The sequence below is a fragment of the Homo sapiens genome, chromosome 7, assembly GCF_000001405.40.
Source record: "Homo sapiens chromosome 7, GRCh38.p14 Primary Assembly".
NCBI lineage: Eukaryota > Metazoa > Chordata > Mammalia > Primates > Hominidae > Homo > Homo sapiens.
This window is the reverse complement of record NC_000007.14, coordinates 143,626,312-143,650,804: the sequence shown is the minus strand read 5'-3', so window position 1 is coordinate 143,650,804 and position 24,493 is coordinate 143,626,312. Positions and strand designations below refer to the sequence as shown.

At 40.3% G+C, this 24,493-nt stretch overlaps 1 protein-coding gene and 1 pseudogene across 10 annotated transcripts in view, besides 1 other annotated feature; one reads left to right on the top strand and one right to left on the bottom strand.

The window, feature by feature from the left end:
- The window catches only part of TCAF2 (TRPM8 channel associated factor 2), a 109,437-nt gene that overhangs the window by 79,606 nt on the left and 5,338 nt on the right, over positions 1-24,493 (bottom strand). The window contains exon 3 of one of the 10 annotated variants that reach the window (NM_001365427.2): positions 5,107-6,941. The exons of the other annotated variants lie outside the window; for them this stretch is intronic. Coding sequence (NP_001352356.1) covers positions 6,785-6,941 — 157 coding nt within the window. The 3' untranslated portion in view covers positions 5,107-6,784. Of the gene's footprint in view, positions 1-5,106; positions 6,942-24,493 lie in introns of those variants that run through there. 10 annotated transcript variants of the gene reach the window in all.
- Positions 683-883: a silencer, noted in NCBI's record as "peak6807 fragment used in MPRA reporter construct". NCBI's record gives its function as "represses an SCP1 promoter by STARR-seq MPRAs in K562 erythroleukemia cells {active_cell/tissue: K562}" and the evidence as "EXISTENCE:reporter gene assay evidence [ECO:0000049][PMID:32103011]".
- On the top strand, positions 3,158-8,551 carry TCAF2C (TRPM8 channel associated factor 2C; annotated as a pseudogene).

Genomic DNA, 24,493 nt, shown 5'->3' with positions numbered 1-24,493 from the left:
GAATTCCATTTGTTGACAGAACTCTTCAACTAAAGCCAGGCTCCAGCCAAAGAAAACATGAAGAAGAAAACGTCAAACTCTTGGCACTGGTAAACTTTACTTTAGTGCAGGGCTTATACACCCTGAAAATTATGTCCAAGATCCTCCTGGCACTGTTTCCAAAATTCTGAACCATGACTACACTGCTGTTTGCGAATAATATCATCACATTCGTGACTCTTAATCGCCACGGAGGCCTGTCCAGCCCGAATCTTTTCTCAGCTGGTTTTCACTTTACCGGGAGACTATGCGCAGAAAAAGAATGAGAAGGAGAAGGAACTCTAAGTCCTGAAAGCTCAGTCCCAGGAAAAGTTGAGAGGGACTTCTAGATTGGAAATTGTGTTGATCATGGCTGTACAATATAATAGGTGATATTGGTGTGGTGCTTTAAGATTAACAAAATGTTTTCATGAATAGATCTCATTTAAAATCTCAAAACAATCTGCCAATTAGACACAGTGGGTATTAATATTCCTATATTTTAGTCATGTGATCTAGGTGAGGTAAATTCTTTCTGAAAGTATACATAGCCAAAAAAAAGCTGCCCAAATGAGTACCATTCAACCCTCCCCATTACCTTTAGCATAAGAGTTGTGTAGGGACTGACATAATTGTTTGTTATCAATAGGGGAAGTCACTCTACTATATCATAGAATCCTTATCCATGTAAATATTCTACAATGCTGTACATGTGCGAAGTGGGAGATAGGCAGAACACAAGCCTGTGGTTTGCTCAGCGGAAAAATGGGGACCACAGACTCTCCCAGGGTCTCTGTTTCTGGTTTTGTCTCATGTTTCCAAACTCAAGCACCTTGGAGCACCTGTAGTCCCAGCTTCTCGGGAGGCTGAGGCAGTAGAATTGCTTGAACCCGGTAGGTGGAGGTTGCAGTGAGCTGAGATTGTGCCACTGCACTCTAGCCTGGCGACAGAGCGAAACTCCATCTCATCTTTCATGAACTGTTTGAGAATATACTTTAAAAATATTTTCTGTTTTTTGCTTTTCTGTTTATCCTTAGAAATTACTCATATATTCTGAATTCTAATTTTGTATCTGTTCAGTCTGTTACAAATATTTGTCTCTCAGTGACCTCACCTTCTTTAACTTTATTTATGCTGCCTTTATGCTAAGAAGTTGTTGGTTTTTTTCTTTAATTCTATGTGGTTCTTGCAGCTTTTGTCAACCATTCTAGTCACTTCCTAGATTCCCAATGCTACTGTAGTTTGTGTGTGTGGGCATGTGGATGAATATATGCAGTCATTTTAATTAGCTGTGGAGAGGATATCTGCAAGTAACTGCAGCTTTCCATATTGAAGTTTTACTACCATTAGCTGAGGCTTTGTCAGGTGCCTGTGAGAAGATGCTAAGAACACTTCGAGTGGAATTTTTTATTATTAAGTCTTGTAGCTCAATGTCATTAACTCCCCAAAATATCTTGAGTTCCAACAGGTAACAAAAAGCCACAGGCAGAACTGATACCTGAACTCTATGACATTTGCCATGTGAGTCTGAAAATGGGATGACAAAACTAAGACATGCCATCTCCTCATTTTCATGCTGAAAAGAAATTAAAGAGAATCTGCACAAGAGTTACATTTTTCAATAATGTTTTACTACTGGAATAAATAAACTATACTTTTTAAAAAATATAACATTTAATTTTTAATTATAAGAGAAATAGATGTTAATTTTAAAATTCGAGAGAATAAAGTTTTATAAAGATAATTAAAATGACCTAAAATCCCACCAGCCAAGACGACCACTGAAGACATTTTTTTTAAACAAAGATATTTTGATAAATATGCTTTAGGTTCTGCTTCTATGTCTGGTTTCATGGTTTTTTATTTTTTTTACCCCAAAATTTGGCTTATTTAGAGCATGGTATCCTGGAATCTAATTTTAAAACTTTTTCCATTAAGCATTTTTCAAGTTACCTAATAATTATTTTAATCACTATATGGTTTGCAATCTATTGTTAACCATAATTTATTTAACCAACCTCCTATTGCTTGACATTTACAGTATATACAAATTGTTTTAAAAAAATTCTTGAAATACAAAGCCTTTTCTTGATTCATTACATTTTGACCATTCCTTAAGAAGAAGAAGTGAATACTCTAACCAGATCTAAGTGAAGTTTTAAAAACAGTGTGTGTTTGTATAAATCTTCAAGCGTAGTGTTATACAATTTAATTGTGATGTGTTCCTAGATCAGAACTACCCTACGGAGAGTCCAGATTTGGTGTTTTTACAGCCTTCCTTTGCAGAAAGTTAGATCGAGAAATTCATAAGCAGTACTACTTTCTCTGGGCATAATAAACTAGTTTTTCTAACTTGTTTATATGTTTAATTATTTTAAAAGTCAAGAAACTGAAGCCTAAATATTCAACACATAGTTGACTAAATGGGAGGAATTCCTGGAGGTGTTCATTTAGAAAATGTGGATTTTAAGATATGCAAGTAAGGGCACTACCTCTATAGCGTTTCCTCAAATCTATGACAAATTGATTGTGAGAAATGCCATTATTTTATGTATCACTAAGAAAGACCAGGCCGGGCATGGTGGCTTACACCTGTAGTCCCAGCACTTTGGGAGGCTGAGGCTGGCGGATCACAAGGTCAAGAGATCCAGACCATCCTGGCCAGCATGGTGAAACCCCGTCTCTACTAAAAATACAAAAATTAGCTGGGTGTGGTGGCACGCACCTGTAGTCCCAGCTTCTCGGGAGGCTGAGGCAGTAGAATTGCTTGAACCCGGTAGGTGGAGGTTGCAGTGAGCCGAGATTGTGCCACTGCACTCTAGCCTGGCGACAGAGCGAAACTCCATCTCAAATAAAAAAAGAAAGAAAGAAAGAAAAGAAAGAAAGAAAAGAAAGAAAGACTAAACATTGCCAATTAAATGATAATATGCCATCAGTTGTAAAAACAGTGAAAAAATATGCCTTAAATATGATAAAAATAAATGATATTAGCATGCTAAAATCCTAATATTAGTAAGAATGTGAAGATTGACATGAACCGTGCAATCTTCTTACCTGCACATAGATTTCTCTACTCAATGAGTTCGATTCAGTGGCTCATTAACTGACTGTAGCCTCATTGTTTCTCCTGTCTCTTCCAGGTATGGGGAGGATGTCAGGCAGGACCAGCAGCAGCTCCTGGAGGGGATCTCAGAGCTGGACATCAGGACAGGGGGAGTCCCCTCACAGCTGCTTGTACATGGAGCCCTGGCCTTCCCTCTGGGGCTGGATGCCTCACTCAACTGCTTCCTGGCGGCTGCTCACTATGGCCGGGGCCGGGTGGTCCTGGCTGCCCACGAGTGCCTGCTCTGTGCTCCCAAGATGGGGCCCTTCTTGCTCAATGCGGTGCGCTGGCTGGCCAGAGGCCAGACAGGCAAAGTTGGGGTGAACACAAATCTAAAAGATCTGTGTCCTCTCCTATCGGAGCATGGCCTGCAATGCAGCCTGGAGCCCCATCTGAACAGCGACTTGTGTGTCTACTGCTGCAAGGCATACAGTGACAAGGAGGCTAAGCAGCTGCAGGAGTTTGTGGCTGAGGGTGGGGGGCTGCTGATTGGGGGCCAGGCCTGGTGGTGGGCCTCCCAGAACCCTGGCCACTGCCCCTTGGCTGGCTTCCCTGGTAACATCATCCTCAACTGCTTTGGCCTCAGCATCCTGCCTCAGACTCTCAAAGCAGGCTGCTTCCCCGTTCCCACCCCTGAGATGAGAAGCTACCACTTCCGCAAGGCGCTCTCTCAATTCCAGGCTATACTGAACCACGAGAATGGGAACTTGGAAAAGAGCTGTCTGGCAAAGTTGAGAGTTGATGGTGCAGCCTTCCTACAGATTCCTGCGGAGGGGGTCCCTGCTTACATATCCCTGCACAGGCTCCTGAGGAAGATGCTACGAGGGTCTGGCCTCCCAGCTGTGAGCCGGGAAAATCCAGTTGCCAGTGACTCCTATGAGGCTGCGGTGCTCTCCCTGGCCACTGGGCTGGCTCACTCTGGAACTGACTGCTCCCAGCTGGCCCAGGGGCTTGGCACCTGGACCTGCTCCTCCAGTTTGTACCCCTCAAAACACCCCATCACCGTGGAGATCAATGGAATCAACCCAGGTATGAAAACAGGAGAGAGTGCCCAGAACATTAAAGATGTAGGGGAAAGTGGGATTGGCTGACACTACACAGGACATTGCAGGTACCTACCCTCAAGAAGATTGACCCCATTCTTTTTTTTTTTGAGACAGAGTCTCACTCTGTCATCCAGGTTGGAATGCAGTAGCGCGATCTCAGCTCATGCAACCTCCACCTCCTGGGTTTAAGCAATTCTCCTCTCTCAGCCTCCTGTGTTGCTGGGACTACAGGCACACGCCACCATGCCTGGCTAATTTTTGTATTTTTAGTAGAGAGAGAGTTTCACCGTAAAGGTAAGGCTGGTCCGGAACTCCTGACCTCAGGTGATCCACCTGCCTTGGCCTCCCAAAGTGCTGGGATTACAGTCGTGAGCCACTGGGCCCAGCTGACTCCATTCTTCATCAGGTACTTTCAAGAAGATGGGGATTGGGACACTGCTTAAGGTTTAGAGGGGATGAGTCTAAGAAGTATGGATGACTTGAGATACACAGGGGAGAAGCTGTACCACTGGGAGGGGCTGGGAGGCCCCAAGTGGAGATATACTCACATAGGAAGGAAGAACTGAGCCTTCTCTGTGACTTTTGTCAGGCAACAATGATTGCTGGGTGAGTACCGGGCTCTACCTCCTGGAAGGACAAAATGCAGAAGTCTCACTGTCTGAAGCTGCTGCCTCTGCTGGCCTGAGGGTAAGGTCTGAACACCCACATCTGCCACCTCTCAAAACCGTAGAGCTGTGTCATTCTCATCCACTGTCTAGTTCCAGCTCATGGCAATGCTGCCAGGAGTACAGAGATGGATTATTCTGCCCATTTTACAGATTTTACAGATGAAGCAGCTAAATTTCAGGGCATCTAAGTGAGTGACTGAAGTGCCTAGTGTTATCAAGCAAGAGAAGCTCACTGCAGAATGGACTAGAAGCCAAAACTATGACACTTGAGTTTTTCACCAAAAAAAAAACAAAAACAAAAGAAAACATTTTATTGCAATTTGATTAACAAGGAGACAGGAGCCCAGCTCAAATCTGTCCCATTGTACTTATTTTAAAGAGTTATTTTAGTAGAAAAGGTGTAGGGAGTGGATTCTGTGATTAGTAGGTGATTGATAGAAAGAAAAGGAAGGGCTGGAAAATCCTCGGGCATGGGCAGTTACCTCTTCATGCCTCCTCATGGGTCCCATGTGCAAACTCAGAGGGAGTTAGTATGAAACATGCGGTACAAATTTAGGCTGTGTGTCAGCAAGCTCATTCTGCACAAACTCTGGTTTTATCTCTTTATCTTGACACCTGAAGGGTGTGCATAATCCCATCACTCCCCAAAATATGCCCTACATGCAGAATTTAAATTCATCCTGCCTCCTTGACTCTGAGGGCCACTTCCTACCACAGCTAGGGTCCCTTTTCTGTCAGCATTCTTTCTGGAGCTTGCTTATATCAAACCTAAGAAAAGCAACTCCAGGACTCCAGACAAAACAGATCTCCACCCATCTGGCGGCCAGAAAGGGAAGCTCTGGGCAAAGAGGGAGAGAGAATCAACCTCACTCACTCTGGATGGGCCTCCTGTGTGTTCACAGAGGACAGAGCAGAGTCCCCCAGCTCATCCTCAATATCAGCGTCCCCAGACTGGCTTAGGTCCTGCTAGAAGAACCCAGGATTTTGCCTGGCAGAAAGACACAAGACCTTTGCCAGGATCAGCCTTGTCTCTCACCAATTCATGTCAGGTGAAGACTTATAGTGGAGCTGTTTAAATCCTTAGAAAAATGATTTTAAATGCCTTGAAGTCCAAATGACTTTGGAGTGCTAAAATTTCATAAGTTTCCATGCCTAGCACATAGAAAAGGGAAGCTGGGGTTTCATGGGCATGTTTGTCTAATACCTTCCATCTACACAACCTCACACGCACATCACAAAGCATCACAAAGACTCTAATTTCTCCAACGCTTGGTGGAATCACCTGTCCAGGTACAGATAGGCTGCCACACCGATGACCTTACCAAGGCCAGGAAGCTATCTCGAGCCCCCGTGGTGACTCACCAATGCTGGATGGACAGGACTGAGCGGTCAGTCTCCTGCCTCTGGGGCGGCCTCCTCTACGTCATCGTGCCCAAGGGCAGCCAACTAGGCCCTGTGCCTGTCACTATCAGGGGAGCTGTGCCTGCCCCATACTACAAGCTGGGTAAGTGGAGTGAACATTTAGGGAGGAGGAAGAGTGGCAGATGCCGTGGGAACTGTGGGGTGGTTGCTAAATGGGAGAGGGATGAGCTTTGGTGGAGAGAAAGAGGAAGAACTGTTGGGAGGGAACATGGAGGCAGAAGATACGGAATACCCTGTGTCCATGGAGACTTCAGGGCAGACAAAGAGAAGAGTCAGGAAGCCTTTTCTTCACTTTACAGCCTATAGACGCCTGTGATAGTAGTTCATTATTGCAATGTTCTTCCAGAGTTCAAATGGTATTTTTCAGCTCAAGGGAAGTTGGAGAAGTGGGTGTGGTAGGTTCCATGATATTTATTCCCAGGTAAGACATCGCTGGAGGAGTGGAAGAGGCAGATGCAGGAGAACCTGGCTCCCTGGGGAGAGCTGGCCACGGACAACATCATCCTGACAGTGCCAACCACAAACCTTCAGGCCCTGAAGGACCCCGAGCCTGTGCTCCGCCTCTGGGATGAGATGATGCAGGCTGTGGCCAGGCTGGCGGCTGAGCCCTTCCCTTTCCGCCGTCCTGAGAGGATTGTGGCTGATGTGCAGATCTCAGCTGGTGGGTGCTCCCAGGGAATCCTCCTAGTCAGTGGAAACCATGTATCTATTACTTTGCCTTTTATGAATGTCCAAAATGTGTAAGCATAATTTTATTAGTAAAGCAAGGGAAAAAGATATAAAAGACATTGACCATGATGGGGATGAAAGAATGTTTACATGTGAAAAACAAATTATTGACATCTACAAGGTGAGATTTCACTGGATGGTAAAACAATCTCAGAAAACGTTGTATTGGGAATTCATAGATGGCAACCAGAGTCATTTCAAGGACAACATAGAAAATCAACTATTTTCTTCAAACATAAGCCAGAGTTGAAAATGAAAAGAGGAAATACGTAAGGAGGTTTATGGTAAGTACTGAGTGGTTAAAAAGAAAGAGGTACATAGGAAGAGAAATAAGGAACTCTGGATCCCAAATGGGGAAAGTTCTTTGGACCTCAATTTTCATACCTTCAAATAAGGACAAAAATTATCTCTGTCATAGAGTGTAAATTTGGACAAAAGTAGTATACATGGGGAAGAAAGAATGACACTGTTCTAGCCCTCAAGGATCTCAGATCCAGTCAGAGGACATCATATCTCAGACTGACATGTAAAGGACACTCACACACACAAAATGAAGGTGTCGAATTACAGCAAGAATGACTATGTAAAGTATAACCAAATTCTCCAGGGCCAGATTGAGGAGGAGGCCACAACTCAGGTGTGAGAGACTAAGAAGGGGATTAGGTACTATTCAGTTTCTGACCAAGTAGGGGAAAGCTATTTGCTTTCCAATCAGCACAGAGATTCTGCAATTATTGGGGATAACCAGGATGGTGAAGAAAAGTCCAATAATGGAGAAGAATGAAGGAGATAGTTTGGGCGGACCCTCCTCAATGCTCATCTCTTCCTTCTGTGTTCCCAGGCTGGATGCATTCAGGATACCCCATCATGTGCCACCTGGAGTCTGTGAAGGAGATCATCAATGAGATGGACATGAGGAGCAGGGGTGTGTGGGGCCCCATCCATGAGCTGGGCCACAACCAACAGTGGCATGGATGGGAGTTCCCCCCACACACTACTGAGGCCACCTGTAACCTTTGGTCAGTCTACGTGCATGAAACAGTCCTGGGGATCCCCAGGGCTCAGGCCCATGAGGCTCTGAGCCCTCCAGAGCGAGAGAGGAGAATCAAGGCCCACCTGGGAAAGGGAGCCCCCCTGTGTGACTGGAATGTATGGACAGCCCTGGAAACATATCTACAGGTACTGAGCAGAAATTCTGGGAGAAGGGGATGACCAGACCCCTCAGTCATGTAGCGACCTGGATCCCAGTAGCTCTCCACCTCCTTCGCCACTCCACCAGCCTGGACCTCCACCTCCCCTGGAAATGAGAGAGACTGGGCCGCAGGGTGGTGCTTCTTGGGTTACACCCCTCTAAGGCAGAGAGAATGGCACCTGTCTCACTCACCTTCTGATTTTGCAATGTAAGAGGAAATGAAAAATATTATGAAAAAAATAGAAATATAGCATATTATTCAAGGGCAGAAACTCTGTTAGACATTCCTGCAGCTGAATCACAGCTCTTGCCCTCATTGGTTTTGTTCTTGGTCTCCTAATAAGTGTTCCATAAATGGTCATTGCTTTGTTTAGTTTTGTTTTATTTCACCTGAGTTTTATGAGTCAAATGAGTTATGCTTTTTTATAATAACGGAGGGTGTCTGCAATGCAGCTGCATTACAATAAGAAGGCATTGTTGGAGACAAATCTGCTAACAAGGGTCTCATCATCCATCACCCCACTTGAAGCCAAAATGATTTAAAATGAAGAGCCAGTCAACCCAATAGTAGAACACTGAATTCATAAAGCAAGTCTACTTCCTGTGAAATAAACACAAATCCCTGCCCCCTCCCCTAGCCCTGCATTGAATGTCGATGTTTTCAAGTTGTCAATGTTGTTCCCCTTTCAGATCTCCTGCAATGTCTCCCACAGCTCTATGGATAGGAGCTGTCTGGCCCACTTTTCACAGAGGCACACACTATTTTAAAGAATTTAAGCAATCTTTCCAGTAGCCCCCATTTAAGTGAAGGACCTAGAACTTAAAATCAGGACGTAATGACAAGCCCCAGGCTTTCGCATTGCCATACCCTCTCTTAGTTTTTTGTGCCTTTCACTAATTTTCTGAAGAGTGAATGTGAGACAGTCCCAGTCAATGAGGTAACTTTGTATTGCATTCATTTCCATATCCTTAGATAGCCAGTCTGGGGGTATACAGGACCACTGACCACAATGGTAGGTTGCCCCTAAACTGTAAGTTTAAGCCCTAATTCTGTCCTAGTCTGCTACCTACTCACTGTGGAGCCCCGAATATCAGTTCTCAATAGCTCTAGAGAGACCAAGTCTGAGACTTGGCCTCAGGATAAACAGGCACCTTCTGACTCCTCTTCCTGCTAGAGGGCTTCTCCCCAGCATCCGTGCCACTGCTGCCTTAGCTCAGGCCTCGTTAGTCTTCCCTCAGTGTATTCCAGTAGCCTTCTAAGTTGTCCCAGCATCTTGCCTCAATCCTCTATGATCCATCTTCCTTACACTCCTTCCAAAATAATGTTAATACTCTGTCTATCAAATGCTTACAGTGTTCTCTAGCATATATAGGGTAAAATCAAAGCTCATTAGCAGGGCATAGGAGGCCCTTCATGACCAGCCTCACCAGCACCTCTAGCTACATCTCCTACTGCTCTCACCTCCACATTTACCCTTCGGCATGCCAACCTGCTTATGGTTACGGACACAGCTTGCTGTTTTGGCTTCTGTGCCTCCCCTTGTTTGCTTCCTGCTGCTGAATCATGCTGGAACATCTTGTCCATTAGCTGTCAAGTCACCTGTCCAAATTCAGCTCTGTTGGCCCTTTCTCTCCTGGACATCGCCTCCTTGATAAACCAACAGTTTTAGCAATGTGTTTATTTACGTGTGTTTCTCCCTTTGGCCAGTGTTCTCTAGAAGGACAAGAGCTCTTAATGATGTTTGCCTAGCACAGTAGCTGGCGGTGTGTGGGTGTCTAATACATGTTAAACGTTTAATAAATGCTTAATTTATTGATGCATTGATTAATAAGTGTCAAAGAGCAAGCCAGTGAGAACAGATGAGCAATAATAAGGATACAACAGTGAGACTCTGAGGTAGGCTTGGCTTCGGTGGTGTTATCTGTCTTTGGGCTTTTATGAGCTACAGTCACAGAATGCTCATCTATTAAAGGGAGAGTGGGGATGTGAAACCCCAGATCCCCGCTAACTGGAAATTTGTATAATCTTAGTAAACAAGGGCCTTCTGCCAAGGGCTTTCCGGAGAGCTGCCCCTTATGAAGTATGAGCCACTCTCATTAGCTGCCCCTTATGAAGTATGAGCCACTCTCATTTTTAGCCCCTCGAGACAGGCTGGATTTTTTTCTTTTTCTGCCCTAAATGCAGTGTTCTACAGAGCAATTTTGTATCATTGCAGATAGCCACAGGTCCAAGATGGCTATTAAAAAATAAGGATTATTATGATGTCTGGAAAGTATAGTATTGGAGGTTCGCAGCTTTTAGAATCTCAATAGGCCAGATATGTAGGAAGTGAGGGTTTCTCATCTCAGTCAGGCCCAAACCTGTCCTGATGCTGAGGAAAACACTTGAGATCTGGGAAGACAATTGTTTAAAGATACTAATAGTGGACATTTATTGAGTATTTACCTCTATTCAGACATTAGGTTTCCCCTGAGCACCCCCACTAGATTCAGGGGGTGTTGTTTTGTGGCCAAGAGGAGGAATGAGCCAACAAGATTGCATTATTGTGCAGGGGCAGAGTGGGGAGATAGGGGCACATACCCAGGATGAAGGTAACGATTGAGGGGAGGTGATCATGTGAATGAAATATATTTAAGAACGCACATGTCACGTCACTTTTGCAAACTTGACACCTCATTCTGTTCCTTCTTTCCCTTTTCAGCTCCAACAGGCCTTCGGGTGGGAGCCATTCACCCAGCTCTTTGCTGAGTACCAGACCCTCTCTCACCTCCCCAAAGACAACACTGGCAGGATGAATCTATGGGTGAAGAAGTTCTCTGAAAAAGTGAAGAAGAATCTGGTTCCCTTCTTTGAGGCCTGGGGCTGGCCTATCCAGAAGGAGGTGGCTGACAGCCTGGCCTCCCTACCAGAGTGGCAGGAAAACCCCATGCAAGTGTACCTCCGTGCCAGGAAGTAAAGGATGCCCCACAAGGCGGGAGAGAAAAGGCAGGGTCACGCCATCAACTCCACCATGGGGCTTTGGCCGTGTGCTCAGTATCTGGAGCCTGAATCCCGCTTCCAAGCCTGACCACTAGATGGTGGCCACGGTCATAAGAAAAAATGGAACCCCTTTCTGTAAAAGGTGCCTTGTGCTTCTTTTTATTGTTTTTCTGCCTACGCTATTGCTTTCCCCAAGAGACTCACTTCACCTCTTAGTCTTCCAGAGAGGATCTTTCATCCTGCCATCCTGAGGCTTCTATTTTTGACCAATAGCTCTAAAGACCACGGGTTCCCATAACAACCTGATATCCCTTTCTCATCCCTGCCATCCCTGAATAAGGCTTCTAATTTATTATGCTTTAACAAGTTTTCAAATAGCAAGCGAGACACGCTGGAATAGTGGAGAGAGCCCCAAACACTAAATAAGCCAAATTTTGGGGTAAAAAAAATAAAAAACCATGAAACCAGACATAGAAGCAGAACCTAAAGCATATTTATCAAAATATCTTTGTTTAAAAAAAATGTCTTCAGTGGTCGTCTTGGCTGGTGGGATTTTAGGTCATTTTAATTATCTTTATAAAACTTTATTCTCTCGAATTTTAAAATTAACATCTATTTCTCTTATAATTAAAAATTAAATGTTATATTTTTTAAAAAGTATAGTTTATTTATTCCAGTAGTAACACATTATTGAAAAATGTAACTCTTGTGCAGATTCTCTTTAATTTCTTTTCAGCATGAAAATGAGGAGATGGCATGTCTTAGTTTTGTCATCCCATTTTCAGACTCACATGGCAAATGTCATAGAGTTCAGGTATCAGTTCTGCCTGTGGCTTTTTGTTACCTGTTGGAACTCAAGATATTTTGGGGAGTTAATGACATTGAGCTACAAGACTTAATAATGAAAAATTCCACTCGAAGTGTTCTTAGCATCTTCTCACAGGCACCTGGCAAAGCCTCAGCTAATGGTAGTAAAACTTCAATATGGAAAGCTGCAGTTACTTGCAGATATCCTCTCCACAGCTAATTAAAATGACTGCATATATTCATCCACATGCCCACACACACAAACTACAGTAGCATTGGGAATCTAGGAAGTGACTAGAATGGTTGACAAAAGCTGCAAGAACCACATAGAATTAAAGAAAAAAACCAACAACTTCTTAGCATAAAGGCAGCATAAATAAAGTTAAAGAAGGTGAGGTCACTGAGAGACAAATATTTGTAACAGACTGAACAGATACAAAATTAGAATTCAGAATATATGAGTAATTTCTAAGGATAAACAGAAAAGCAAAAAACAGAAAATATTTTTAAAGTATATTCTCAAACAGTTCATGAAAGATGAAATCCAAGTGAGATATTCAGCATTTGAAAAGATATAATCACACAAATGCAAATTATATATAATAACATATTTTACCCAGAAAATTAGTAAATGTTTCAAAAGCTGACAATATTAAGTGTTGGCAAGAGTGTGGAGAAAACTAATCTTTCATAAAAACTGGAGATCATTTTGGCAGTATCCAATAACATTAAAAAGAGAAACAGCCTATAGTAGTATAAATGGAGGCAGTACTAGGAAGTTCATTGCAAATTGTTGGTAATAGTGAAAAAATATGAAGAAGTTAAATGTTTACTAATATGAATGCAAATAAAAATTGGCATTTAATCATATGATGGATTACTATTTATCAGTCAATAAGAATAGGTCCACCTATGTTAATTAACAAGGAAAGATGTTCAAAACATATTTGTTGAGTAAAACAATTTCAAAAATAGCAGAACTTGGTGATGCAACTTATGGAAGACACAATATAAAGCAAAGTAAACATACGTCAATATATGTCCAAAATGTCAGGGAACAACCACAATAAACTGATAAGAGTGTTTTCTTTTGGATTGTGAGATAGAGAGAAAGGACTGACATTGAAGGAGATGATGAAAAGGGCTTTTGCCTCAATAATTTGTTTCTTCAAATAAGGAGAATGTACAATTATATTTCTCAGGTAATCAAACATTAAATTTAAAATTTAAGATAACTGCTCCAAAAATAGAAGTAAAATGTATAATCTACAAATGTGTTGAGGAAATTTAAGAAATGGATAAAGCTTAGTAGCAACCAAGGAAAAATGTAAAAAGAAATAAAGCATAAAAATAGAAAATAAAATTAAAAGGGGGTAAGAGCAAGAAATACATTTGAATCATCACAGTATATATGAATGCATTGAATTTCCATCTCACAGAAGCTGTCAGATTGGGTTAAAAACATCTGGATATAAGCTGCTTATAAAAGACACACCTGAAACTAAACATAAAAGCATTGAAAATGACAAAATCAACAAAGTTTTATTTTAAAAAATACAAAAACACAAAAGCAGACATATCAGCATTAATAAGGGATGCAAGTGATTTCAAAGAGGAAAAATTAAAAATGAACATTTTCTATGGATTAAAGTTACACTCTAACAAAAATAAAATTTTTATTAATTTTTATGCCCTGCAAAAACACAATACTGAAAGCAAGAACTGCTACAAAGAAAATAAAAATATGAATTGACATTACATTTGGAGATGGTAATGTATTCACAGCATCCATTGGAAAAAAAAAAAGGATGGAGATGATTTGATCAGAATGACTTACAAGCTTACTTACAGCCAGAAGACAATTGTCCTGCATCCTGAAGACAAGACATTGAGACCCTAGAAGGTTGTGTTCTGCTAACTTGTTGCAAAAATATGAAGTAAAAAGGCAGACATTCTCCAACATGATACATTAACTAAAAAATCAATGTGCAGAGCACACACACACACATAGATAAGCATCTGAGATGATCCATGTCAAACTTTTAGGATTGGCTACCTTGGTCCAGAGGCATGAGACTGGAGCTGGTGGTGTGGTGAGGAGGATGAGTTGCCATTTTCCTCTCTATATTTCTGTATTGGTGTGCATTTTTTTCAAAATAAACTTGAATTCCTTTTGAAATATTTTCATAAAAAGGCATTTCTTAAAAGAAAACTAAAGAAAGAAAGGAAAGGAGGAAAGAAGGAAGGAAGGGGATGACAGAGGGAGGGAGGGGGAAGGGAGGGGGAAGCAGGGAGGGAGGGAGGGAAAAGTGAGTAAGCATAGCAGTTAGTATATCAGGTAAATTTCAACAGCTGATTTGACAATATCCTAAGGGCAATATTAATGATCTCAGACAGCTAGTTACCAATATTTAAATCTTGTATAATATCTGTTTACAATGTTTAAGTGTGGAAAACAATGAAAGTAGCTGCTATTTAATAAGGTTTAATATATGTTAGGTATTTAACATATGTATTATCTCTTTCAATCATTATAATAAACCTGAAAGTTACTATTCTCACTTTAAAGATGGAGTTTGGAAAAGCTAAGCAATTTTCCCCACGTTTCCTAGCTAATAACTGGCAGGGACAGGAAGCAAACCTGACAAAGCAGGAGCATCGTCATCTTGGATAAACACCGCTAATTTATGTTTCAGCTCCCTTTCTAGCCCCATGCATTTCCAGGAAATCACTTCTCTTCTAACTACAAGCAGCCGGAAAGAGCAGAACGGTAAAACACAGATGAGACAGCTCGGGCACAGAGGGAGGAGGGAGCAAAGTCTCTTGGGTAACTGCCAAACTTCATCCTCATACAATGGGCCCCAGTTAAACAGTGGGCCTTAATAAGAACATTCCTTTCCCTTTGGGTGCACTAAGTTAGGGAAGTTAAAAGATAGGAAGCTAAAAGTGGGGTATGCCTGCAGCTGCAGAAAGATATATGGGAACAGAGATACAACTCTCCCTCTCAGATAAGCACAACAAAGAGACACAGAAGCAGTCGAGGCCTCTGATAAACTCTCCCACCTTGAATCCTTAAAAACTCTTAGTCTGTAAGGGAGTATGCCTCTGACCTAACTCGGCCAGATGCCCCTCCCATGTTTATTTTCTCTAAATTAAACCTGTCTGTGACTGTCAAGCCACCTTTTGTATTTCTTTCCTATTTCTTTAATTTTTACTAAACCCAGGCTGGCTTGCTTCCAAAGCCACCGTTGTCTACACACCAGAACTCTCTCACTCAATTACTGAGTCTTTGACGGAACCTACATCTGGGTACATGGTTTTCGACAGGTATATCTTGTGCAAAGGAAGCTTTACAGGATGCAAAGGTGCGAACAATACTGTGTTTAAGAAAGGAAAAGCATGTGTTACTTCAGAGCTGGAAGTGCAGGGGAAGCCACTGAGGACTAAAGGAAAGGGATGGGATGGTATGGTTAGGAAATGTTCGCAAACCACATCTGAGCAGACAGGTAACATGGGCGATAGGTTTCTGAATGCCAATTAAAAAACTGCCAAATTAGGAAGGTACAGCACTAAATAAAAAGGTAAGTGTGAAGTGCGCTGCTGTCATTTTCACCATATTGAAGGTAAAACATCTAACAATTTATATATTTTTTCTTGAAAATAAAAGTAATGAAGTCTACTGGTAGTAATCAAATACATCTTCACTTAGCTTGTTTTGTTTTTCTGTTGAGATTGTATAGAATGTAAAAATACTCTTCTGGATTTATTTCACTCTCTGATAAATATAAACAGGACAGAAATACTAGAATCTAGAAACGATGTTTTCTTAGGATCTATAACATCAAAAAAAGGACTAGAGAGAACTATGTTGATCAGATGCTGTAAAAAACATTTTGAAGACCTGCAGCCCCCAACACTTGAGTATCTTTTTTTTTTGTATTTTTAATTTCTTAAATACAGATAAATCATAGTAAATAAGAAAACTTTAAAAACTGTCTCCATCATCACTGAACAATATGGGCATTGATAATCAGAGAGGTGCCTTGAAATTGTAAATCTATTTTTTTTCTTTTATTTTAAGCTGGTAAATACAGGGTAAAATCTCTTTAGATCTCAATCATGCCTATTAGACACACAATTTTATTTAAACTATTTAACCTGTCAGATTTAAGAAAATAATTTGGAAAACTCACTTTTGTAACAAATTGCAGGTACAAAAATTACTCATTTGGAATAGTCAGAATACAGATGCTACTCACCTGTGAGCACAGATATATTCATATTTCTATGTCAGACCAAAATCCTGCTTAAACACACAAACATTCCTAACAATGTCATAATGTTTACTCTTTCTCCTGGCTTAATAAACTATATTTCTGATATTATTGGAAGATTATTGTTAGAATTGAAGGAGATAATACAGGTTGAGCAGCCCTTATGGAAAATGCTTGGGACCAACCAATAGTGTTTCAGATTTTGATTTTTTTCAGGTTATGGAATATTTGCATACACATAAGGAGATACCTTGGTGTTGGGACCCAACTCTAAACACAAAATTCATTTATGTTTCCTATACACCTTTACACAGAGCCTAAAGGTAATTTATACAATATTTTAAATAAGTTTGTGCATGAAAAAAGTTTGTGTACATTGAACCATCAGAAAGCAAAGGTGTCCCCAAAGTGGGATTTTCCACTTCTGGCATTATGTTGGTGGTGCTCAAAAAGTTTTGAATTTTGGAGAATTTCAGATTTTTGATTTTTGATTAGGCCTGGTTTCTCCAGTCTTAGGGGACCTAGTAAGCTAGGCCCACTTCCACCAAACCACAGATGGAACTCACATGGGGAGTTTACACTTGAAAGCTTTTTTTCTTGTCTATCCACCCAATTTGTTCACTTTTCTATGTATTAGAAAGCATTAATGATAACTATTGAATTTGTGATTTTGAATATTTTCTTTCCATTGTACATGGAAGGTTGACTGGTGTTAGGAGATACTCCATCCTGGGCCACCCATCAATCACCTGTTCTCCTTGGCCAGTGCATAGCAATGTATGTCATCATCATAAAAACCTTCCACATCCAGCCATTTATTAATTATTTTTCATTCATTTTGTCAGATTTGGTGGAGAGAACAATTCTGGGATCTAGTCTCATTTCAGTTTTTACCTGGAAACTACATTCATGGATCTTGAATATAAACCTCATAAACCTTCCACACAATTATCTCTGTCTCTGAGTCAGATTCCCAGGAACCCAAGCTGAAACAAGTGGAATTTAGCAGCGCCTAGCAAAATTACGTATGAATTTCCTCCGTGACTCAGAAATCCCATTTCCAGTGATATGGCAAAATATAATGATACATACACAAAGGTATGTGGTGCTTGTAACTTGGAACTCCTTGGACAAAGACTTTCCTACTCTACAGGACTGTGTTGAGGACAGAGAAAATAAATAATTCTCAAGACAGTCATAAACCTAAGCCACTAGTACATATTTACAATTTTTACTTACCAAATAGTGACAGGTTCTCACTATGTTGCTCAGGCTGGAGTGCAATGCGTATTTGCAGGTGCAATTACAGAACACTGCAGCCTTGGATTCCCAGCCTCAAGAGAGCCTCCTACCTCAGCCTCTCGAGTATGTGAGTACCTGTGCATCAGCATGCCCAGTTACATATTTACTTTTATATGGGCAGCTGCTAACATATTTTAGAGCTTGTAGATTATACCGTGTGTAAGTGTAATGGGTGGCTGCTTAGTATCTGAGGTTAACTTTTCTTCCAGACTCTTCTGTCATGGTATAAAGGTAGCAAGTGCCTTTGGATTTGCTTTTAAATATTAAAGCAACTGCAGTATACTCCTGTTATATAAACATAGGTGTGCCCTTGGGGATAGGGTGTGAGAGGAGCTTTTGTTGGTGTTTAGAGACTGCCCCACTCCTTGGCAGGCAGAGTTGGGGCAGGCCAGCAATCAATTCTCTTAAGAAGCTCCAGGGCCTTCCAGCCGAGATTTAAAGTTAAGGAACCTGCTGGGTCAGTCCAAGCGCCTTTGACCAATATTTGTGGCAGGAATGTTCACTGAAAACCTCTAATGGGACTTGCTCTGAAGGCGGGAGGAATCTGAGCCAGAGACTCAGACTCTGACCTTCTGAGACTCTCAAGGAGTTGGTTCCCTCTGGCTCTATTGTTGGCTGAGGCTGGAAGGCTCTGGCGCAACCCCCAGCCCTATATTCCATAGTAGGAAGTTGTCTGCAGGATTAACAGTAGTATATGAGGCTGTCTTTTCTCTTGTTATGGTTTTGGATGTGTATTCATTCATATTTTTTCATTAATTTATATAGTTTACAAATATTTGTTGATCTCTAATGTTAAGTACTCCAGGCACTGAGAATAAAGCAGTAAACGCAACAGGCAAGATCATGGAGCTCTATATTCTGGTTGGTTAGACAGGCCCTAGCAAGAAACAGCGGAGATAGTTATAGAGAGTGATAATGTTTAAGGAATAAATGGAGAAATGTGATGAAGTGAAACTGGATGGACAGTCCAAATTTCAGTATGGCCACTGGGGAAGACTGCTCTGAGGAGGGTGTTTGAGTTGAAACTAATTAAGAAGAATAAATTGGATTTTCAAGAGCTGAAAGAAAGTCCAGAATAGGAACAAATATCTTGATATTTTATAAAACAAGAAATCTAATGTTACATGTTGTGGTCTTTACATTGAGGGACAGTTCTAAAATACTTTAAAGATGTGTATGGATAATATATGTTATCGCCAACCCCCCGATACTCAACTAGAAAATATCTGAGTATGCAACAAAGAGGAAATAGTTAAAACAAATTACAGAACTTATGATTAAAAATTATCATTAAAAATATCATATATAAAAATGGGAAAATATTTTTAAGGAGAATACAAAATAGCAGCATGTAATCATAGCTAGCAAAAATGATGTATTGATTTGTAAAGATATGCAAAGATAGAAGATATGTAAGCATAAACATTTTGGTTGAGGACATTACAGAAATTACAAATATTCAAATACTTTAGTGTCATTGTTTTCTCAATAAATGTTTTAATTAATCAAAACTAACAATGTGGGAATTTATTTTTATACAGTATTAGCTGAACTTTCACTACGCTTCTCTTAGTCCTAAAATATGGACTTAAACGCTGTGGGAATTCCAGTGCCTAGAATAGTGTCTAGAACAGGCACTCACATATTTTAGATAAATTAAAACATGGATACAAGATACTAGAAAGAGGGAAAAAAACTGATATGTTAAGAAAATTTGTTCCTTTCTCCTTTTTGTTGGTGAATCAATGAAAACTATAAATGATATCAGGTCAAAGAAAGATATCTTAATGTGATCTGGGGAGAGGTTTTTTATTTTTTAAGGGTTCTGAAAAGGCAAAGAGGTAATATTAAAAATGTCTTTTTTGTCAATTTATAATTATAGAGTATTCGGAAAGGACAAAAATATTTGAAGATGAAACCAATTACCAACTTAGCCCCAGAGACACATTACTAATATTTTATTATATTTTCTTCTAATGTTTTATTTTCCTGGCTATACATATATTGTTTTAATGAATTTAGCATCATTTTAATGCAGAGCTTTATATCTTAATTTTGTCTATTTTATCATGAATATTTTTCATTTCCTTTAAGAAGTCTTTGAACATAGAATTTTTAATGATTGCAAAATTACTCACTCAATCACTCTAGGATATGCTATACCTTATTTAAGCAATCTTCTATTACAGACACGTTTCTTCCAGTGTTCCACTTAACAGTGAAAATATTGCTAAAAAATATTTGCCTCATAGCCCGGCTTCTCCCTGTCTCCAGTGCTTCTTCCTTCACCTTTCCACAGATGCTGATCCTGGGAGCATGCCCTCACAAACCTCCCACACATGTATCTCTATCTCTGAGTCAGATTCCCAGTAACCCAAGCTGCAACAAGGGGGACTTAGCAGTGCCTAGCGAAATTACATATGAATTTCCCCCATGACTCAGAAATCCCATTTCCAGTGATAGCGCGAAATATAAGGATACGTGCACAAAGGTATTCATTGCAGCACATGTGTAACAGTAGAAGTACCAGAAAAATAACACATACTGGAAACTCAAGTGCCTGTCAATAAGGGACTTATTGAATAAACAATATCATATCCATACACCATGGTATAATAGAGTATACAGTGTATCTCTATATATTACTATCAGGCCATATCCAGGAAATAATGTTAAGTGAAAAAAAGTAAGGAGGAAAAAATGTATAGAGTATGTTATTGCCTTATCCAGTGAAGAGAAGACTACTAATATGTGTGTGTTTGTGGAGAATTAAACCACAAAAAATGCACAGAAGGAAGAAGGGAATTGTTTGAAGGAAACAGGGACAGAATATAGGTTTCTTAAGATCTTACTTTGGACCCAGATTACTATTTTACATAATTTTAAACAAAATTAAATTACACAAGCAATTCCAAAACTAAAAAATAAAATAACCAATGAATTGACATGTACATCTGTTTAGCGGTATAACCACAAAGAGCGGAAGTATTGGAAGTGACTTTAAAGATAGTATTTTGACTTTATATATGTATATAATAAAATATATCATTGGGACAAAAAGAACTGCAAGTAATCTTTGTTACAATAATCATCATATTGCTGGTAGTAGTGCTATTATTCATATTTTGCAACTGTTGTTTGTATATCTTGGGATAGAGCAAATGAGTCGTTACATTGGTGTCTTATAGAACCGGAATTTTTCATCATGAGAGATAGGAGATACAGAGGTAAGATTGTTGAAATCAAATTAAAACCCTGTAGCCCCAAATCTGATCCGAAGTATCAAAATATAAACCAAAAATATCTATTTCTTAGCTGTGCCTATTTAGAAGGCCTAGAAACAAAGATCAAACAATGCACAACTCTAACACCCGGACTGGAGTTTCTAAATGCAAATTAGGACTCCCAGAAATATGGGCTGTACGTTAAAAAAAGAAGGAAGAAAAAAATAGGGCTTTTTGGAGAAATGGCAGTTCTGGGCCTGAGCAGGAAATACATGAGATGAAATTGAAACCTCCTGTTATATTAAAAAACCAGGAAGCCCATTAAGGTTGGGTGGAAAAGATTCAGGAATCATCTTGAATTGGCTCCCAATGGCCAAACAGGACAATTTCAACATCAATAAGGATAATAAATGAAACACATTGTGTTTCCAATCATGATTTCATAATAATTCTAAGAAAAATTTAAACACATTGGTGACCTCTGGAAGATGCTAGGGAAACAACTCAATATTGGAAACTGGTTTTAAAATGAGAAAGAGAGAATTAAATATTTATTTTGCCTTTTCTATATAAATTATACCATAGAGTATGTAATTGGTGAAGGAAAGTGTGTTTTATAAAACTATTCCAAATAACAAATAAAAGGAATATTAAAATTTTAAAGCCATCATTTTATAAACACAAATTAATGGGTCTAGGGCTAAGCAACGGTTATTAAGGACTGCCAACCTCACAGTAAGAGAGAAAATCAGACCATTGTGCTCTACCCAGTAGAAGTGCATACTACCACCTATAAAATAGGTCAAAAATTCAAACATGAATCTGATCAAACCTCTAGATCAGGAGCTGAGAAAGTTTTCCTTAAAAGGTCCGACAAATATTTTAGACAAATATGGGCCATATGGTCTCTGCTGAAACTATTCAACAATGGCAGACACTGTAGCTTGAAAGCAGCCACAGTTTGTGAATGAATGGGCATGGCTGTGCTCCAACAAAACTTCATTCACAAAAACAGGGGCTGGCCTCAGTTTGTCAATCCTGACCTAAAATCGAGATCTAACTTTTAATTTGTATTATACAGAAAATACAAGCAAAAAATGAATATGTTAAATCAGTGGTCCCTAACCTTTTGGTACCAGGGACCTGTTTATAGAAGACAATTTTTCCATGGACCTGGCAGGGGTTTCAGGATAATTCAAGTGCATTACATTTATGGCACACTTTATTTCTATTATTAGTACATTGTAACATATAATGAACTAATTATACAACCCACCATAATGTAGAATCAGTGGGAGCCCTGAGCTTGCTTTCCTGCAACTAGATAGCCCCACCTGAAGGTGATGGGAGACAGTGACAGATCATCAGGCATTAGATTCTCATAAGGAGCACACTACCTAGACCCTTTGCATGAGCAGTTTGCAATAGGGTTCGTGCCCCTATGAGACTCTAATGCTGCCACTGATCTAACAGGAGGCGGAGCTTAGGTGGTAACACAAGTGATGGGGAGTGGCTGTAAATACAGATGAAGCTTTATTTGCTCACCCGCTGCTCACATCCTGCTGTGTGTTCTGGTTCCTAACAGGCCATGGACTGGTACCCCCATATTAAATGATACCACAGGAAGGCAATCAATTTGCCTTTCCAGGTTTTCACCATTGCGCTTCACTGTGCCTGGAATCCTCCTCCCACAGATGCACACATGGCTCATTCCCTGACTTCCTTGAGGTCTACTTTCAAAGTCCAGACCGAAGTAAACTGTTCAACAAAGAGTAGCTGGTGTCTTCAACAACAGCAACAAAACTGCAAGAAATAGAAAGTTGGAAAGGAAACGCGTATCTTAAAAGAGATATAAAATTTGTATCAAGAAATCAAAATATTTGGGTTTTATTTAAATTTCAGTGTTAACACTTTTTTTTTTTTTTTTTTGAGACAGAGTCTCAGTCTGTTGCCCAGGTTGGTGTGCAATGGCATGGTCTCGGCTCACTGCAACCTCCACCTCCCGGGTTCATGTGATTCTCCTACCTCAGCCTCCCAAAAAGCTAGGACTGCTGGTGCGTACCACCACACCCGGCCAATTTTTTTATTTTTAGTAGAGTGTTGCCACGTTGGCCAGTCTGGTCTCAAACTCCTGACCTCAAGTGATCCACCTGCCTTGGCCTCCCAAAAAGGACTGGGATTACAGGCATGACCCACCATGCCTGGCCCAATGTTAACACATTTTGAAAAATAAGACAATCATGGAAATAAATGATGACACTAAGGAATTATTCTTTTAGGTGTGATAATGATGACTTGCAGTTATGTTTTTAAAAGACTTCATACCTTTAGAGATATATATTTAAATACTTACAGATGAAAAGACATGATGTCTGCTGTTTGCTTCAAAATAATCTTGGGTGGGGAAGAGTGGGGCTACAGGTGAAATAGGACAGACCTGGAGTTGACTATTTTGGGGACTGGGGAATGGCTACATGGGGGTTCATTGTACTATTCTGTCTACTTTTGCATATGTTTAATATTTTCAGTAATTAAGAATTAAAATAACAAACACACAAAATATACCTTAGAATCGGTGGCAGGGATTAAAAATGTAGATATAGATGAAGAAAAACAGGTTGAGTTAGCTAGAGAGGAGAATCCCTTGGGGCAATTAAGAGGCATTATAGTGATGAGATTTCACCTGCTTGTCCCTTCGCATTAGAATAAAAAAGTTGAAGCGAATCAGATCCACTCCAATGTCTCTGAGTAAACCCATCCCCTCCCCAAATCTCTCAGAAGGGAAGGAATTCAAAGAGGTCCAGAGCTTGGGGCTGAGGGTTCAGGGCACTGCCAGCTGCTCACTAGTATCTGTATGCCCCTTCTTCTTTGTACAGCATCTTGATTTCTTCAGAGACGCCAGTGCCCATTTAAAAATAGCCAGCCCTTCAGATCTCCTGGTAGTTAGGTCTGGAAGTCAGGCCTCCCACTGATTCTACATTATGGTGGGTTGTATAATTATTTCATTATATATTAAAATGTACTAATGATAGAAATAAAGTGCATAATAAATGTAATGCACTTGAATTATCTTGAAACTCCTGCCAGGTCCATGGAAAAATTGTCTTCTACAAAACAGGTCCTGGTACCAAAAGGCTAGGGACTACTGATTTAACTAGGCTGGCCGTTAAAATATAAATAGAAGTCTAGGGCTTCCAGGAAATACATGGTTTTATAAACTAAAAGTAGGTGTATCCATTCCAATTTATTATTGCATGGGTGTAATTATGGTGCCTGGAGTAGTAGTGGCAAACTTGTAGCCATAAGGATAAAATAACACACCATGACAGGGTCAGGCAGTGACAGGGAGACAGAGACTGACCATGGGACATCATAGAGTCACTGCCCCAGAGCTGGACTACCTACCTGTACTTCATGTTTCATAGAAAAAATAAACTGCTACATGGTTAATCTGCTATACTAAGGCTTCTGCTACATGTGGCCAAACATAAGTAAGTAGTCACTAATATCTGAAACCTAAAACATCCAAAATGAGACTCCTGATCTCCTCTAATCCATCTTCTCATTGTCCTTTCACAGATCACTAAACAGCAGCACCTGTGTTTAATTTTTGGTCTTTTTCAGACCAAAAATCTCAACTCCTCTTTTTCCTTACTCACTCCATCAGCCAAGCCTGTTGGGTTCTCCCTTTGAGGTGTGTCCAGAATGGAACCTGTTCTCAGTAGCTC